Raw genomic sequence first — 20,949 nt, 5'->3', positions numbered from 1 at the left:
ATAACTGAGGGAAAAGAGAAAGACATTCCATATAATACATCAGATGCCTAAGTGCTTTGGATAGTCATAAGCCTTTTCTCCTACAGCTTCCTAATTAGAAATGCCTGCTCTGCGGAGTTTTCTTAAGTTTTCCAACTTGCTCCTTCCATTTTATAATAGTCTATTGAGGAAGACTATTATCAAATAAAAATCAGAATGATCACTGGACACCTATTTTAGCCTTGGGATTTATATCACAATTCCCTAAGACTTCATATTTCCAGAAAAGAAATTCAAACTAAAGCTCACAATTACTATTATTATGGTAATCCTGATAAGATGTACATTTTAACTAAAAGAAGTTCCCACTATTTTTTTTCTTTCTACTTTTCAATAATTCTTGGGACCTTAGTAGGAGTGTGCAATAGTCTTGTGGTGTATTTTTAGTTTAAAAGTCTATCTGATTACCACTTGGTAGATATTGTCCAAACTCACTTTTGAATCCAAGTGTTTTTACCCTTATATAATTTTTTTAAAAGAGTATTTGCTTGTTTCTATTATACTATAACTATTGGAGCTACTAGGAGGCCTTTTAAATTTCAACAACAAATAGGCAGAATGGAGACTAACTGAAGGGTTGATGGGCTTAAAGAAAATAAATAACCTAACAAAGGCTAATGGCAAAACCAACATTAGAAACCAAGTCACTTTACTTGGGATTAGTGGATACCAAAATGTGCTTTCTCGGAAGCAGCACTTTACAAGGAAACATGAAAATCCACCTTTGTTGTCCTTCAGCTAAAGGGAATAAAATCGTGTACTTTCTGTAATTTTAACCTTGTTATAACAGATGCTACAGAAACTCAAGTGGAACTCTGACTGCCTTGAGAGCTGAATAAAATGCATCCCACCATCCATTGCTGCTGCATCAAGGTATTAAAAAGAGAGACAGAAGGAAGAGGCGAGAGAGGCACAAGTTCAACAGTGTGAGGGACTTGGACACAATGGGAGGGAGAAAGAAATAAATGTCTAAATGTCATGGAAAGAACAGACAATGAAGGCATATGTAAGAGGCCTGCTAAAGCTATGGGACCTCAGAAGCCTATTTGTAAGAACTACAATTTAGAATAAGGAACTTGCAATACAATGCCTGACCTTCATTTCCTTACGTGCCTCAATCTTGTCAAAACCTTTGATTGATTTTTGTATGAACATGAATTACTGCTACAATACTCAGTTGAACTACATGAATTTCTCAAAGCAGTAATACAGTGCTATAGCGTAGCTTAACATTGTTTAAGTAATATGGTTTGCTTATATTTAAGTCATTTCTAAGGGACCCATGCAAACACAGTCAGGAGATCTATTTCTGATGTATTTCCAAGGCTAAAAACAAAAAATGCTGTTAATGCATAAACAGTCAAAAAGCTACGCATTGTGGTTTTACAGGGACTTCTATTTCTAAAGATGATGGTTGCATGAGGGCCTCTGCCTTTATAAGGGAAATGTGTAGATTTTAACTAGCTCTGTATTATAATGTTTGTGTTTTGAAAAAGAAAAGCATGTTTCTGCACTAAAAAATAAATTCCTAATCAAACCTTTAAAGTTAACATTTAGAACAGGGACAGAAATTTCTATTGTTTCCTAAGTGTTTTGTTGCTGTTGCTGTTTAGATTTAAATCATTTTTTAGAAGTTTTACTGAGGCATAATTGATATAAAAAATTATACACCTTTAATATATTCACTTGGATGAGTTTGGACATGTGTGCATACACCAATACCATCATCACAACCAAGGTACTGAACATACTTATTCACCTCCAAAAATTTTCTTTTGTTCTTTTTTAATGGTGGTAGTATATTTTTAAGAATTCAGCCTTTGAGCAGGGTACGAAGGACCTTCAACAACAAATGCAAAAGTAAATGAGCTAAGTTCATATAAAGGGTTAGCTCTCAGTGAGATATTCAAGTTATGATCATATCCTCAAGAGGCTTGTAAGCTGACTGTGGGTTTCCAGTTTGGTTATTCACAGATAGGCCTTCATTTGCTCATTTACCTATTCATTCATATAGCCACTCATTCATTCTCAAGAAGAGGTATTTGTCCATATCTCACCATGTGGATGAGCAGATGGTCAGTTCTCACTTCTTTTGCCATTAAGTGTGCTCACCGTTGAGCTCCAGGATGGTATTTTCTCTCACTTTGCATCATTACCGAAGTGGCTATCAAGATTCCCTCCCCTACCTTCTTTTTCTTTTTTCAATGTTTAAGAGCTGGAGTTAATTTCTTGACTCCTTTGGTAACACATGCACATATATACCACTCAAGGCCTGTTGGATTAAACTGTTAAATTTGTCATCTAGCTAATGTTTTCTCAGAACCAGACAAATTAAACAGAGTCAATTGTTGAAATTATTTCAAAAGATAAACAATCATAGAATGGAAATAAACTACAGAAAGTAGGGAGCAGGAGTAACTAAGTCTCCTAGAAAACATTTGCAGCAGATGTTAAGTATCCAGTCTCGTTGTTATAAATGAATTTCAAAGAATCTCAGAGCAGCTTTACAAAATTTTACTGCACTAACAAATGGCAGCCAACCTCTGTAGTAAACACAAAATACTGTACCATCCTTTGTATCTCCTTAAATTAAGCCAATTTCTGCTTACACAGAAAATCTGTCTGTGGAAAACACTGCTTAGAATTTGAAAGCACATTAATCTGGAAGCCACAACAGAAGTGTGCTTCAGAAAACTTCTTAATGTTTTTCTTGTGAGTTATTCTCTTTACGCTTTTCACATTACAATATTACCAAGTTATCATAATGTATTTTCTGCACTCCCAGAGCAAGATAAGACTCTAGTTGTTGCTGGGAACTATACATTGTCTAAATATGGGTTCACATTCTCTCACAGTGATTCTGGAATCATACACACAAATGAGATCACTGCTGTCACATCACTGGAATTAAGACAACCTCTCTACTCACTGGCCATGTAAATATAGATACAGTACTCAAATCCTCTGAGGCTTAGCTAATTATTGGTTGATTTGGTCTACACTTACCACATTAACTATTTGAAAAGATTCATTGATATAACATGTACTAAGAACAGTTCCTGACTCATAATCATTATTAAGGCAATATTTACCAATATGTGACATTAAAATAGATACTACTATTAGATAATAATTCATACTATACATTCAATATTTAAGCAACAGAATTATAATTTTGTGAAGTAAATTTTGTACTCAAATAGAAAATCTAATTCTATAATTATTTTCTGCAATATTGGGTCATAGAACCAACAAAGAATATATGACTGGCTTAGACGTATGTATTTACTTATGCGATTAGTAATAAAATTCTTCACTCATTCCTAGATTTGAATCCCAGATGCTCTGCGTAGCAGCTGTATAGTCTTAGACGAGTTGCTTAATCTGTCTGTACCTCGATTTCCTCATTTGTACTCCAATTTTCTTATGTGGTAAATATAAAATTACTTAACTCAGAGCTATGAGGTCAGTTTTATTTGAGAGAATCCAGAAAAAAAAAAAACTTAACACACATTTCCTACCATTCGGCATGCATAATACGTACTCAAGGAAATTTTAGATCTCTGTACATGATTAATATATTAAATCCTCAAACCGACTATAAGGTCTGAAAATGCATGTCTTTATGTCACTGTACCTCTCATTGCACTTGGCACAGTGTTGTGAATATATTTGTCAATTGTATGTTCTTTCTACCATACAATTCTGCCACTCCAATTAGCATATTGTGTTGGAAAACAATTGAGTGCTTGCCTTATGTTTTACTAAATTTATATGGAACTACGTTGACACTTCCTTGCCCTTAAGATGCTGGGACTCACTGGTTGCTTTCTAGTTCTCAGGAGTCTCTATGTGACTCTGTCCTTTACACTTGCCCTGCAACATCACCCTCAGCCCTAGACAAAGCCAACATCATTTTTAAAGACCTGCAAATATGTCTGCAATTCACTGTATGAATATTCTCATTCTATCAAAACCCTGACCTCACTAACTCAATGGAGCAATACAGGATGATAAAGTAGTTTATATGAAAGTCATAGAAAGTTTGCTTTGTTTATTCACCCAAAGGTATGTTTTTAAAGGATGAGGCTTTTATCTGAAATAAATAAAATTATAATTTGAAATTTCAAATAATGTGACTAATAGATTATGAATTCATTTCCAAATATAGAAATAATTAAAATACTTGGGGGTATAGAAAAAGTGAGTGCTGTATCTATTCTTTTATTATATTAATTTTACCCTAGCTGCCAGAATTTAGTACTTTTAACATCAACTGAGAGATTTAAGGCTATTGTAATTTTCCTATTTTGATTTTCCTCTTCTATTTATAACTCAAAGTAATTTGATAATATACACTGTGATGTGTCCCCATGTATCAAACATTTAAAAAATATATTTGGAACCAAAGCAAAGATACATATTTTTTTTTAATTTAAATTTTTTTTTTTGAGATGTCACCCAGGCTGGAGCGCAGTGGTGCAATCTCTGCTCACTGCAAGCTCCCCCTCCTGGGCTCACGCCATTCTCCTGCCTCAGCCTCCCAAGTAGCTGGGACTACAGGCGCACGCCGCCATGCCCGGCTAATTTTTTGTATTTTTGGTAGAGACGGGGTTTCACCGTGTTAGCCAGGATGGTTTCAATCTCCTGACCTTGTGATCCGCCCGCCTCGGCCTCCCAAAGTGCTGGGATTACAGGCGTGAGCCACCGCGCCTGGCGCAAAGATATGTTTTACTAATACCACAGAGGTATAATCTGCTGCTATTTCTTGATCAGAAGTAAACAAGTGTCTTCACAGCAGTTGATCTAATTTTCTTCCCCATTCATTCAATGGTATTTTTTGATTATTACAGAATATATTGAATTAGATAATGATAAGTCCTTTTTCTTTTTTTTTCAGAAATGGCTTCTCTCTGTTACTGAGGCTGGATTGCAGTGGCGCTGTCTTGACTCACTGCAGCCTCTGCCTGCTGGGCTCAAGAAATCCTTCTACCTCAGCCTCCTGAGTAGCTGGGACTACAGGTGAGCACCACCATGTCCACCTATATAATTTTTGTATTTTTTTTTTTTTGTAGAGATAGGGTTTCACTGTGTGGCCTAGGTTGGTCTCAAACTCCTGGGCTCACACCATCCTCCCCCCTCATCATCCCAAAATTCTGGGATTACAGGTGTAAGCCACTGCACCTGGCTGAGAAGGCTTTTTATTATAGGTTGTTCTTATTGTTCTATTTATTTGGTTTGCTTGTTGGTTTTCAAGGTAAGTTTGACATATAAAGTGGTATAATGTTTAAAGGTCAAGTTACAGAGATAGCTAGATTGAAGTTCAAATCCAGAGCCAAGTTACTTAGACTCTCTAAGGACCTGTTTTTTCCCTTATAAAATTAAAATAAAGTGGATAGCCACTTCACAGGTTTGTAATAAGAATTAATATGATCATGATGTCACAGAGTTGCAAAGAGATACTGAAACTTGGCTCTGCCAAAAAATATTAGCTATTGCCATTATGATTGTTCTCCTTAATACCTAAGGCATTTGCTGACAATCAGGTTACTCATCATGTCCTTCCAGGAAAAAAACTTTAAGAATGTTGAAAACTTAGGAACTACTTTTAAAATTTAATTTTCAGACCTGACATAACACAGCTGAGGAAGAGAGGTGGTAGCTGATTGGGGATAGATGTAGAGATCATTAATGGTATAAGAGTGTGAGAATGTGAAGCAGGATAGGATATGATATTACTCATACAGATCACAAATACATGTCAAAATTATATTTATCATTCATTTAAGTAAAATTCAACATTGTTTTCTTCAAAGAAGAAATTGCGCATTTCACTCTACCTATTTAACTCTGGAAAATTTTACAAACTGAGCATGCCATTTTTTAGTATGAATTCCTTTATTTCAGCTGCCCTGCTAACTTTGCATGATGAGCAGAAAAAAATGAAACAGAATGGTTAGTTCTGGAATATGAAAAAGTGTCCAAGAAGAGGAGTAGTCTTGAGAAGTAGGGAACAGGATGAAGTCACTAGGGGACAGAAGGATAGGAGGGAGTGGGACCAGACAAACACTGAGCTCTGCATGCACACGTAACAGTCTAAAATAGTCATCCAGCACGCAGACTCTAGGTCAAGATAACCAAGATGAATTGCAACTTCTCCACAAGCAACATGACTTTGGGTAAGGTATTTAACTTTTCTGAGTCTTAGTTTCTTCAACTGATAAATAAAAATGACGGTCATATCTACTTCATAAAATTGTGATAACTGATTAATACATGTAATGAATAGTGTTTGGCATTTAGCTTAATAATAAGACATTTCATTAAAATATTAGCTACTTTTGTTAGCTAGCAACTCTCAATTTTGCCTAAAGCTGACCCCATATCTAGGGTTAGGTTTTGAAAGAAGTTTATCACCATCAGAACTAGGTCTGGAAATTATAAAGGAAAGCTTAAAAAAACCCAGAAATATGTGCAACACCTATTTACAAAGAATCCACTGGGAAACCCCCATTGAGCCCAGGTAGATGGCACATGTCCCCTTTGGGCATGTAACTCAGTTCCCTGAGGGTCAGTATATTGTCTTTGTTTCAAAGGTCCCAAGGCAAACTTTTTAATAATTGTGGTCCCACTCAATAGTCATGTTCACTTACTTTATGGGTACATTTGTGGCATATTTTAAAATGCGAAGTTGAGTGCATTTCACTTAAAAACCAAAGGCATGTAATGACAACATGCTATAGAGGAAAAATTATTGATTTGTGTAAATAGGCAGATCTTGTTTGTATTCTAGCTCCATCACTTACTAATTTTGTGATATGGGCAATTTATATCCTATCTGAGCCTGTGTTTCCTCTACAATATGAGATAATTTCTACTTTGAAGTACTGTTATGAGGGTTAAATATAAATTACTTTCTGGTTTATGATGTTGGTATATACTATTTCCATGCATGATAGTTATTTTTATGAATAAGATTTTAACAGTAAGCCATAGAAAAATACAATGTAAGACTGATTCTTAGTATCTATCAAAACAGATTGTAAAAATGACTTAAACATCTAGCATGGCAGTGACTAACATTTTGAAAAGCTTAATTTTTCCATTGAGAACTGTAGCCCAACACAGTGTCTGTGCCTCAGTGTTCCTCTTATCAGGAAGGATAATATCTGTGATGCATGGACTAACTCTAATGAAAATTTTTATTCTTAAGACACAAGATATTTCCCAGCACAGTACATAAGGTCTTTGTGCTCATGTCAGCATTGGAGATAAATTTCTGGGAAAGAAGTAGAGAAACCGCTCATTTCTATAGACATCAAAACACCAAAGTAAAAGTGAAAATAAAGGTACGCTGCAGACTTTTTTTTAAATGCCTAAACTAAAAAGTATACCTATCAGGAAACATCCAACTCACAAATTACTTTAAATATGTTTTTAAAACAGTGTGCTTGTTTTATAACCACAGATTCATGCTATTTACCTGATATTCCCAGGTGGTTGCTTTGTGGGGCTCAGTGCCATCCTTGGAGCAATAAAAAGCATTTCTTCTACACCAGTAAAAAACTGGCTACTTCTCACATAAACCTTGGAGGGCTTCCCTCAGTGGGCTTAGTGATCAGCAAATCATGTCAAATAACCCTTTTGGTTATTTTTGACATAATAGTGTTCCTAGCAGGCAGTACTCAAGAATTCCCAGATTCTTAGCTTTAAATTCAATATACTCTCTTGTATTAAAAGTCAAGCTATTTATCCACAGTAGTTCTTAGGTCCACGTTTCATTTTACACATATATGTGGATGTAACAGCTTTTTCCTTAGAACTTTTTAAAAAAATGGAATTCAGTAAAAGTCCTATATTTGTATTTTCTATGTGCCAAGAACAGATAACCATCATTAATGTGAGCCAAATTTGAATTGAGGAGCTGAAATTAGGAGGAATTGAAAAACACCTGAAATAAATCTTCAAGTAATGAAGGGGAAAGTTTACTTTAGAATTAGTGTATCAAAAATGAGAAAATTGGCTGGGTGCAGTGGCTCATGCCTGTAATCCCAGCTCTTTGGGAGGCTGAGGCATGTAGATCACCTGAGGTCAGGAGTTTGAGACTTGCCTGGCCAACATGGTGAAACCCTGTCTCTACTAAAAATACAAAAATTAGCCGGGCATGATGGCACATGCCTGTGGTCCCAGCTACCCGGGAGGCTGAGGCAGGAGAATTGCTTGAACCACGGAGGCAGAGGTTGCAGTGAGCCGAGATCACGCCACTGCACTCCAACCTGGGTGACAGAGTGAGACTCCTTAAAAATAAATAAATAAATAATAAATAAACAAATAAATAATTTAAAAAAGTCATTGCTTTATTTTTAAAAAAGTAATAGTTTCAAAATGTATACATATAAAATCTAACTGGGAATACTTTGTACCTACTTGTAGCCCAAGATTAAGTTTATTCTCAATTACTAGGAGGTTTGCACAATAGAGTACATATTTAATCTGTATGACTAAAAGCCTCATTGTCAATGTGACTGTGTCATCATTATCACATTTGTGAATCTCCTGATTATAACTTTCACAGATGGTCTATCTACAGGGTTCTGGGATAAGAAACTTGCTGTCTGTCTACAGAGGAAGCTGTTTTCACTTCCAGATAGTTCTGAATATTTGAAAGTACTTGCTGATTCAGAGTCAAATTATGTCTTGCTGTAACATCCACAATTTCTGAACTTACATTTGAGATAAACCAAGATTAGACTAAACCATGCCTTCAAGTGACAGACTCTCAAAAATGTGATGTATTTTTTTTCAAAAAAAACTGCACGTCCAGGATACTCTACCTGGAGAAAAACGTAGCTCTCATTAACCTTGTCCAGACATTAAACTTATAAGAGAAAATCATTATTTTCCTTGTAGCCAAATTATTCCGCTAAATTGTTTTTAGGCAGGATTAATAAACCTTTACTGTAAAGGGAAAGAGGCTAAGATCTTAGGTTTTGTGGGCCATATAATCTCTATACAACTATTCAACTCTGCTGTTGCAGTGAGAAAGCATTTACAGACGATACACAAATGAATGAGTGTGTCCATGCTGCAATAAAACTTTATTTACAAAACCAGTCTATTGGCTGGATATGGCTTGCAGGCCATACTTTGCCAACCCTTGGTTTACAGCCTGGCTAGCTAAACACTGCTTGTTGTAGTAAAATCTTGCTTTTTAAAACATATGTCTCTCATCCTAGCATTGTCATTACATGTGTGTGGTTTATTGTTGAATATGTAATATTTAAGGATCTTTCCTATTTAGTTTTATTGACTAAAAGCTGTTTCATAATTATAATACACAGACATCTATATAGGTTTTTATTTTATCATTCAACCTATTAGCTAATCCTTAGAGTTGTTTCAATTTTCATGTGTTTGACAGATGAACATGTCTAAAACACTGATGAAAATGTTACCAGAATATAAACAAAAATGAATTTTTCCGGTTAAAACCATTTTACTTGTTAGTAATATGTAACTATTAACCATTAAATAATTTACCAAATTATTCCATTACGTAATCCATATTGCTCCTTCTTGTCCACAAGAATATAGTAAGGTACATTATCAAATACATACCTCTGACTTTAGTGGGCATTTAATGTATTATTAGAGGATCCCAATATCTGTCTTTCTTAAGAAAATTAAACTCATCCCTAGTGATTATACACTTTCTTCATCTAACACTATAATATTAATAACATTTGAAAAAGTAATGTCAAATAATTAACACTAGATTTACAGAGTATTTTTAGACAGTTTTCTAAAATTATCTGAAAAATTTGGCCAGAATCAGTGTAAAATTCACATCTGAGCTTATGGAAGCCAACTTTATTCCACTCTAAAAGTACAACATTTTATAGTTTTAATTTTATCTTTTAAAATGTTTTAACCTAAAGGTAGTGGAAGACGTTACTAAAGGAAGCTTAGGTAGTAACGTATTTGTCGTCTCAGTTAACACAAAGACCATAGATGGGGCAGATCTGCAGGATGCAAAAACTTTCTTTTTTCTCACCTCATAGTAGCCATATGGCTACTGCAATTCTCTGGTTTCATGTGCTTACAAAATGTCCTTTAGTTAAAAACAAAAAGAAAGAGAAAGAGAGAAAGAAAGAAAGAGAAAGAAGAAGGAAAAAAGATAGAGGAAAAATAATTTCTTCATGTGTCTATTTAAATTAACAAAGACGTGAATTGTCCCAGACCTCCCTGTGATGATTAATTTCATGTGTCAGTTTTACTGGGCTAAGGGTTGCCCACATGGCTGATAAAACATTATTTCTGAGTATGTCTGTGTTTCCAGAGAAATTAGCATTTGAATAGGTAGGCTGAGTGAAGAGGATCATCCTCACCAATATCTATGGGCATCCTTCAATCTCTTCAGAGCCCAAATAAAACAAAAAGGCAGAGGAAGGGTGAATTTAATCTGTCTTCTTGAGCTGGGACATCCATCTTCTCTTATCCTCCAATATTGGAACACCTGGTCTATGTTGGTAGGAGTGTAAATTAGTTCATCATAACCTTGTTGGCACTAGGGACCAGTTTCATGGAAGACAGTTTTTTCATGGACCGTGGTGTAGGGAAGATGGTTTTGGGATGATTCAAGCACACTACATTTATTTATTTATTTATATTATTATTATTTTTGAGATGAAATCTCACTCTTGTCACCCAGGCTGGAGTGCAGTGGCGCAATCTAGGCTCACTGCAATCTCCGCCTCCCAGGTTCAAGCAATTCTCCTGCCTCAGCCTCCCAAGTAACTGGGATTACAGGCACCTGCCACCACACCTGGCTAAGTTTTGTATTTTCAGTAGAGATGGGGTTTCACCACGTTGGCTAGGCTGGTCTCAAACTCCTGACCTCAGGTGATCCACCTGCCTTGGTCTTCCAAAGTGCTGGGATTACAAGTGTGAGCAACCATGCCCGGCACAGGCACATTACATTTATTGTGCACTTTATTTCTATTATTATTACATTGTAATATATAATAATTATACACCTCACCATAATGTAGAATCAGTGGGAACCCTGAGCTTGTTTTTCTGCAACTAGAGGTCCCATCTGGGAATGATGGGAGACAGTGACAGATGCACACACTGCAGGGGGATTGCATTAGATCATCAGACATCAGATTCTCATAAGGAGCGTGCAGCCTAGACCCTTCACATGTTCAGTTCACATTAAGATTGGTGCTCCTATGAGAATCTAATACCACCATTGATCTGACAGCAGGCAAAGCTCAGGCAGTAATGCAAGTGATGGGGAATAGCTGTAAATTCAGATCAAGCTTCGCTTGCTTACTCACTGCTCCTACTGCTGTGTGGCCCAGTTCCTCACCAGGCCATGGACCTAGTCCATGGCCCACAGGGTTGGGGACCCCGATCTAATGTGACAACTCTGGAAATCAGATTCTATACCCCCTATTTGTTGTTGCTGTTGTTGCTGCTGTTATTGTTGTTCAGTGTCTAATGAGCTTTCTGAAATAATTTTGTAGTCTGGGACTACTCTTCAACACTCAGCCAGGCAGTTTACATCTCTGCCTTAGCCTTCACTTCCTGCTTGCCCAGAGCCTCAAGGCCAGTCAGAGGTGAGAGCTTTGAGCCTTCCCAGGTCTTTACTGAACATGTACGCAGGCCTACACTTGGGAGTAGCCTCATAGATTTCTAGGAATCATTCTGTTGGAATTTTCAAAGCCCTTATGGACATCTCATTCTCCTGTTTTACTTTTAAAGCTTTTTAGTTAGCCTATTGTCTGCCCAAAATGTTATCTACAACCTCATACAGGCACCAACTTGAATAACGGCCTTTAAATGTTTTTGACAAATGCCATTAAGGAAAAGGCTTTTTCGTTAAGTGAGCTCTTAGGACAGAAAAAGACATCCTGGCAGTGGGATGTTTCTGAAAACCACCAGCCAAGTCAAATGACAGTTCTCTGGGAATGAGGCTTTGAAGGAAATCCAGCCCCATTCTGTCTTTCCAGTGGCTGCCAGGCTATTGGTCTTCACTGTAATTATGGGCTGTTAATTTTCAAGGCTGCAGTGGAGCCAGCGAGGAGAGGATGAGACTAGAATAGGGCAAGTTAAAAATACCATACTGCTTGCTGTTCTTAATGAGATTTTTCATTTTATTTATTTGTGTGTGTGTATATATGTACACACATATATATACATACACACACACACACACACACACACACAGTGAATGGAAAATAAATCTTGGGGCCCCAAAATCACTAAGCTAAAGGGAAAAGTCAAGCTGGAAAAGGGTTAGGGCAAACCTGCCTCCAATTCTATTCAAAGTCATCCCTCCATTCACTGAGATAAATGCATATCGGATTGCCTCCTTTGGAAAGGCTAATCAGAAACTCAGAAGAATGCCACTTGTCTTTCACCTACCTGTGACCTGGCAGCCTTCTCACTGCTTGTGCTGTCCCACCTTTCTTGGCAGAACCAATGTATATCTTCCATATATTGATTGATGTCTCATGTCTCCCTAAAATGTATAAAACCAAGCTGTGCCCTGACTACCTTGGGCACGTGTCATCAGGACCTCCTGAGGCTGTGTCACAGGTGTGCCTCCTCAACCTTGGCAAAATAAACTTCCTAAATTAACTGAGACCCTTCTCAGATATTCAAGGCTCACATTTTGGCAACCATGAAGGGATTCTGGGTGGAGGCTCCCCTGACCTTTGACAAATCTCCTATCAGTGCTCGGTACCAGCTTGAACTATCTTTATGGCTCAAACCAATAGAACAATTTGCCGAGACAGGCCTGGAAGCACCCCCTCCAGAGAATCACTGATCTTTCAAAATTTGGTCAAGATCTAAAGTTTATTTTGCAGTACAACTCCTTTTTTTTTTGGAGTTTTACTATCTTCCAACGCAAGAAAGGCAAGTTTTTCCTGCTTTGATGACGATGAAATGCAGGTAACTCCTTTATGGAGTTTGAGCTTGCTTCCAACGGGGAAGACAAATGTGAGTTTCTTCCTTCTTCTAGTAAGGGAGGAGACCACCCCTCATATCGTCTTATGCCCAATTTTTGCCTCCAAAGAAAGAAGTAAAAACTAAAAGGCAGAAATGAAATCCACAGGCAGACAGCCTGGCGCCGCACCCTGGGCTTGGTAGTTAAAGATCGACCCCTGACCTAATCGGTTATGTTATCTATAGATTACAGGCATTGTATAGAAATGCACTGTGAAAATCCCTATCGTGTTTTGTTCCAATCTAATTACTGGTGCATGCAGCCCCCAGTCACATACCCCCTGCTTGCTCAATCAATCATGACCCTCTCACACGCACCTCTTAGAGTTGTGAGCCCTTAAAAGGGACAAGAATTGCTCACTTGGGGAGCTCGGCTCTTGAGACAGGAGTCTTGCCGATGCCCCCGGCCAAATAAACCCCTTCCTTCTTTAATTCGGTGTCTGAGGAGTTTTGTCTGCAGCTCGTCCTGCTACACTAGGATGGTAAAGAGCAGTCTTCAGCCTGAGACCCATCCCTTACCTAAGGATGGGTAACTAAACTGGGGGTTGTCTTGGCTAAAGTTAAGATTAACAACCAGCTGGTTGTAATTTCTCTTTACCATTAGAGCACTCAGTAGTTGGATAAGTTGTGCCATCTTTGTTTTGCTTAATTGTTTTTGTTGTTGTTGTTTGTTTGTTTCTGTTTTTGTTGTTGTTTCAGTTTTTTTGCCATTGGGATTGATCAACTCTATCCGACTTGATCAAATCCAAAGGAAACTTCCAAATTATGGGGAACAAGACCTCTGAAGTGGCTAAATTTCCACACTGTGGTGGGGGAGAAAAACAGCCAAAAAAGGGGGAAAAAAAAAAACAGGGAAGATTTTTTACTTTGACTACTTAAGGGGCTTTATTTACATAACAAGGCCACCTTTTTGCTAGCCAGGCCAAACTGAAAGAGCAATGGCTGTCACTCCATACTGCAGTTCCATAGCTAAGGGCTCTGGCTTCTTTTTTTCCACCACGACAGCTTGGGTGTGGTTCCTAAATCAAGCCATTTTCGGTTTGATACTTGGTACTTCTGAAATAGCAGCAATTTGTTCTAGCTGAATTATGGTAATGAGATTTTAAAAGATTTTTTTAAAGGAGCTCAATGATTAAAAGTCAGCTTAACTAAAAGCTAACATCCAAGATGTGTGTGTGTATGTGTTTGTGCATGTGTGTGTGTGTGTGTGTATGTGTGTGTGTTTGTATTGAAAAGGCCTTCACATATTTTTTTTTTTCTCCTAGGACCTTGTCTCTCTCTTTTTCTTTTTTAGTTAAAGATTTTTTTTTCTCAGTTGACTGAGTTCTGTTTTTTGTTTTGTTTTGTTTTGTTTTATTTACTTCTGCTGCCTCTCCTTTCTCTTGCACCCTCTGCTGCTTGAGGGACCTAAACTATTATAGTTTATAATAGCCTGGCTTTCCTTCAAGAAAGCAGAGAAGGCACCAGACTCCTTTTTGGGGAGAAACCTGTTTTTCCTTATGAAACCCCAAGAGTGTAAGCAGATAAGTTCATCTCAGCTCTTAAATTGCCTGCTTTTGTATTGTGTTACCTGACTTATTGACTAAAAGGGTTGTTGCACCAAAGCCTACTCTGGTTTTTAAGGAAGAGTGTAGTTTACACATTAGAAGTGTCTTCGTTTAAAAAAAAATTTTAAGTGCACTGAAAAAGCATCACATGGTCTAGCCTCATAATAATTCTCCCTTTTGGGAGATTCAGGATTCAGTGTGGGCTCTGCCCAGAGCTCAGAGATCTAGTCAAAAGACAGGTATTTCCTACATAAATAAAATTGGTCTCTTCATATAATCCTATGACAGATTTCTTTTTTTTTTTTTTTTTCTGAGACAGAGTTTTCGCTCTTGTTGCCCAGGCTGGAGTGCAGTGGCGCAGTTTCGGCTCACTGCAACCTCCACCTCCCGGGTTCAAGTGATTCTTCTGCCTTAGTCTCCTGAGTAGCTGGGACTACAGGCGCCCACCACCACACCTGGCTAATTTTTGTATTTTTAGTAGAGACGGGGTTTCACCATGTTGGGCAGGATGGTCTTGATCTCCTGACCCCATGATCCGCCTGCCTCGGCCTCCCAAAGTGCTGGGATTACAGGCATGAGCCACCGTGCCCGGCTATCCTATGATAGATATCTGTAACTTTATGTTTGATTTGGCATCCCTCTTTTGTTTTGTTTTGTTTGAGACGGAGGCTCTCTCTGTCACCCAGCCTGGAGTGCAGTGACACAATTTCGGCTCACTGAAACCTCTGCCTCCCAGGTTCAAGCGATTCTCCCACCTCAGCCTCCCAAGTAGCTGGAATTACAGGCATATGCCACCACACCTGGCTAATTTTTGTATTTTTAGTAGAAACGGGTTTTCACCATGTTGGCCAGGGTGGTCTCGAACTCCTGACCTCAGATGATCTGCCCGCCTCGACCTCCTAAAGTGCTGGGATTACAAGTCTGAGCCACTGCCCCTGGTGTAGTACGTGGTTTTACTGCATGTGACTAGTTTACATGCAACTAGCCATGCAAGTTCAGTAACCCAAGGCGGTCTATACCCTGTTCAACAAGAACCATCTACTAATGACACTTCTGGAAGTCTGGGCAATGTCAACTTGCTGTAAAAGTTCCCAAATGCTCTCAATTATCATATGATAACAAAGGTCTCAAATCAGTAAATTTTGAGTGGCCCTTTACTAGGAATAATCTTGAATAAGCTAGTACTGCCCTCCACAACCACAATTAAAAATATATCGGTATTGGTTTTCTCTTCAGTTCAAGAATCATGTAAATATGTAATGTAGAAAATGAGGATTTCCCATATTCCCACAGAATCACAAAGATGATCACTGGTAATATGCGTGCTACATATATGATACCAGGTTTATTCTACTCTTTTTTTTTTTTTTTTTTTTGAGACAGAGTCTCACTCTGTCGCCCAGGCTAAAGTCCAGTGCTACGATCTCAGCTCACTGCATCCTCTGCCTCCTAGGTTCAAGCAACTCTCCCACCTCAGCCTCCCAAGTGGCCGGAATTACAGGCACCTGCCACCATGCCCACCCAGCTAATTTTTTTATATTTTTAGTAGAGACGAGGTTTCACTAAGTAGACCAAGTTGGTCTTGAACTCCTGACCTCTGGTGATCCACCCACCTCGGCCTCCCAAAATGCTGGGATTACGAGCATGAGCCACCATGCCTGGCCATTTTTTTGTACTTTTATACAATTATATGCTTGCTTTATAAAAATGAACTTATTCTACATATACATGTTATTACATTATTAGGACATGTTCCCAAATGACATATTACATTTTCATCATTCTTTTTTAAAATATTTTTTCGTGAGACAGTGTCTTGCTCTGTTGCCCAGGCTGGAGTGCAGTGGCCTAATCACAGGTCACTGCAGCCTGAAACTCCTGGGTTCAAGGGATCCTCCTCTCTCGGCCTCCTGAGTAGCCCAGCTAAGTTTAAAAAAAATTTTTTTTTGGCCTGGCATGGTGGCTCACGCCCATAATCTCAGCACTTTGGAAGGCCAAGGCGGGCAGATCACTTGGGGTCAGGAGTTTGAGACCATCCTGGCCAACATGGTGAAACACCGTCTCTACTAAAACTACAAAAATTAGCTGGGCGTGGTGGCAGGTGCCTGTAATCCCAGTTACTTGAGAGGCTGAGGCAGGAGAATCGCTTGAGCCCAGGAGGCGGAGGGGGCAGTGAGTCGAGATCATGCCACTGCACTCTAGCCTGGGTGACAGAGCAAGACCCTGTCTCAAAAATAAATAAATAAATAATTAAATATATATATATTTAATTATATATATATAAAATTAAATATATATATTTAATTTTATATATATATAATTAAATATTTAATTATATATATATAAAATTAAATATATATAATTAATTATATATATATTTAATTATATATATATATTTGGAGAGACAGGTCTCACTATGTTGCCCAAGCTGGTTCTGAACTCCTGGACTCAAGCAATCTTCCCATCTGGGTTCCCAAAGTGTTGGGATTACAGGTGTGAGCCACCATGCCCAGACATTTTCATCATCCTTTTTTTTTGAGACGGAGTTTTGCTCTTGTTGCCCAGGCTGGAGTGCAATGTCACGATCCCGGCTCACTGCAACATCCACCTCCCAGGTTCAAGTGACTCTCCTGCCTCAGCCTCCTGAGTAGCTGGGATTACAGGCATGAGCCATCACGCCCAGCTAATTTTGTATTTTTAGAGGACACAGGGTTTCTCCACTGTTTTTACTAGACCTTGATCACATCAAAAAGATTGTGTCTCTTCCATTTATTGTGCAGCTTGTACACAATTGACACAATGAGGAGCTCAGCAAAGGACGCAGAGTGACAGCATCCTCCCTTCAGTGGAATGGCCATGTCTAGACACCTCTTAATCACTCCCGAGAAGTAGGGATGGGTTCGGTGTATGAGAATAAGAAACGGAGCCTCCAGGGTTGAGACAATTTGCCCAAAACACACCTCTTGTGGGAAGTACAGTTGCGATCCCCCAGGTCTCTTGGGCTTGCAGGTTCCTGCTCTCCCGTGGGCCCCCAGGAGATGTTGGCTGCCAAGAGGAGGAGGAATCCTCCTGGGCAGAGGTTAACTTTTGCCACTCCAGGATTTGCCCACCCTGGGGTCCCTGCCGGGAATGTTCCCCCAGCACCACCCTCCCCATGCCGCCTCCTAACTGGCTGTGTCCTTCCCACCATTCAGCAAACACATCCTACGTCCAGGACCAGCCCCTTCATCTCAGGAAGGCTGCCATGGGACTCCCAGAACCCCCATGGCTCCTGGAGCCCTGAGGGAATCACATCTTGGGTGGGGAGTGATTTGTTTTCTCATCCAGTGCAACCTTGGAGGTAACAGACAAGAATGTCCTGTGATGCGAAGCACTTATTGTCCTGACCTCTGGTCCAGTGCCCTTCGCTCTAAGCACATAGAATCCCCAGGCTGTTCCTGGAGGTGTGGGCTGGGGTTTGTAGGGACTAGCTGGACCAGCTGGGCCAGGGGAGGCAGCCATGCCCGGGGCACATAGCCACTGCCCAGAGCTGCCCCCAGAGCTGGGAGCCATCTTGCACATGGTGCTGTGAGATGCCCTCCAGAGAGGAAGATGGAAGCTGTCTCCGTGCCCCGGGACTGATGAAGGGCCCATTCCAGGCCTTTGGGCACCCGGGCTCGCTACCCTTCTGGGAGCCCTGTCCTGTGGGCCAGGACAAAGGTGCCCTCACTGGTGGCATTCTCAGAAGCTCAGCCGCTCCCCACACATGCACATAGGGGCGTGCCCACACCAAGCCACGTGTAGGTGTCTGGGGACAATGAGTCTTGGGGGAGGGGGTGGGTCCCTTCCAGAAGGGTCTGGCCAAAGTCCAGTTATGAAGGTGAGCTGAGATGGGCTCCCTCAAAGGAGCCATAGTGTGGGGAGCCCCGGGCAGAGCCCAGAGAGAAATGCCAGCCCCGAGACCGAGACACGCTCCAAGGAGTGCTGCCAAGAGCAGTAGACACAGCCGCTGAGGCCCACGGGGCACAGTGAGGCTGTGGGAGAGGGTGGCCCCTCTGTGGCCATTTCCCTGCCTGTGCTCACATCCCCTCCTCAGGCCTGTCTCACCAGCTCTGGCAGCCCATGACCCACATTCTGTCTGACTCTCCTTCCTCTCCTGGCTACAGGGATCCCCAGTGCCCCTCACCATTCCTTCTGGTCTCTCCTCTGCCTCCCGGAACTGTTCCCCAGGACTCTCTCCTGGGCCAGCCCTTCCTGCCCCTCCACATCAGTCGTTCCGAACCCCGGATGCCTTTGGGATCAGCTGGGTGCACTTTAAATCCTTCCAGCCCAGAGCCCTGAGGCCCAAGTCACCCCCGCCTGCTCCTGTGGGACCCCTTGGATCAGCCAACCATTTTATCATCATCCATCATGTCCCCTGTCACCAAGGGCCTCTGGCATGTTGTGTTGTCCCCATGCCCACCCTGGCACCCCTCACCCACCAACCTGTGCCCACGTCCTGCCTTGAGCCTGTTTCCCCTCCTGAGTGGTATTTCCTCACTCCAGGTGGGCACTGGGGCAGCTGGCAGACTTGGCTGTGAGCTTCTGTCCCATCCAGAGGGACCCTCCCTTCCAGATTACCCAGTCAAGCTTGACCCCATGGTGTCACCGAGACGGACCAAAAGAGGGTATTGAAGCCACGCAGTCCCCCGAGCCCCACTGAGCTGCACCAGCTTTGGAGCCGGAGAGAGCCTGGGAGACTGAGCACTGAGTGCTAGGTCCCTTCTTCCCACTCTTGAGGGAGAAATCATTGTAACCTTCCCTTCCTCCCACTCTTGAGGGCCCTGGGGGGACACAGGGCACAAGGAGGGTGGCAGAAGAGGTGTGTGCCTAGGTGCTTGGCACCTAGCCGGGGTTCATTTCTGTCCTCTCAACTTGGCCTCCCAAAGTGCTGGGATTACAGGCATGAGATACTGTACCTGGTCTTATTTTTTCTTTTCTTAAGATACAGGGTCTCACCATCTGGCCCAGGCTGGACTCAAACTGCTGAGCTCAAGTAATTCCCCCACCTCAGCCTCCAAAGTAGCTAGGACTAAAGGCATGAAACCACCATGCTTGGCTCGTCCAATTTCATTCTACACACTTTCTCGGTATTTAAACAGCTGCTGTTGCTCTTCATTCTGTAGCTCTACATCAGATTCATGCTCTAGTCCTGTATATCCAAATGATGACTAGAGGCTGCCGGCTCTGCTCTTTCAAAGGCACAATGAGCGTAGCCCGTCTACAAAACTCTCCCTTTTCCAATCCAGCTTTCCCTCCTGCATCACCTATCTCTCTACATCTGGAACCATCGGCAGCTGCCTTCATAAGGCACCTCAGTCTGGCATTCGGAAAACCACCCTGTCTTGCCAGAGCCTCTTGCTCTTGGGTAGCAAAACCTGTATGCAATCTAAATCAAGCTTTCAATCATGAGAAATCACATTCCTTCTTTTCCCTTTGTAATATACTCATGTGTTTTTTTTTTCCTTTCTCAATAAGCAAATTGTACCACCATCTTATTCTGAGATGCTCCTTTTTAAAAGCTGTAGATCACATTAATGGAAGTGTTTACTGCTGGGAATATTTTCCACGTGCAATGATCTGTAACCCTCTTTTTCTTTTTTTTTGAGACCGAGTCTCGCTCTGTTGCCCAGGCGGGAGTGCAGTGGCACAATCTCTGCTCACTGCAAGCTTTGCCTCCTGAGTTCATGCCATTCTCCTGCCTCAGCCTCCCAAGTAGCTGGGACTACAGGTGCCCGCCACCACGCCCAGCTAATTTTTTTTTTTGAGATGGAGTCTCGCTTGGTCGCCCAGGCTGTAGTGCAGTGGTGCAATCTCAGTTCATTGCAAGCTCCGCCTCCTGGGTTCACGCCATTCTCCTGCCTCAGCCTCCCGAGTAGCTGGGACTACAGGTGCCTGCCACCACACCTGGCTAATTTTTTTTTTTTTTTTTTGTATTTTTAGCAGAGATGGGGTTTCACCATGTTAGCCAGGATGGTCTTGATCTCCTGACCTCGTGATCCGCCTGCATCAGCCTCCCAAAGTGCTGGGATTACAGGTGTGAGCCACCACGCCCGGCCATGCCCAGCTAATTTTTTGTATTTTTTAGTAGAGATGGGGTTTCATGATGTTAGTCAGGATGGTCTCCATCTCCTGACCTGGTGATCAGTCCGCCTAGGCCTCCCAAAGTGCTAGGATTACAGGTGTGAGCCACTGCGCCCAGCCGAACTGTAACTCTCTTATCTCAACTAGCTGACATTATTACTTCACATCCTGTTCAATTTATAAATTAAGAGAGGTGCCATGGGCTGGGCACGGTGGCTCACGCCTGTAATCCCAACACTTTGGG

This window comes from Homo sapiens, chromosome 10 (assembly GCF_000001405.40).
Source record: "Homo sapiens chromosome 10, GRCh38.p14 Primary Assembly".
Lineage (NCBI taxonomy): Eukaryota > Metazoa > Chordata > Mammalia > Primates > Hominidae > Homo > Homo sapiens.
This window is presented reverse-complemented; position numbering follows the sequence as displayed.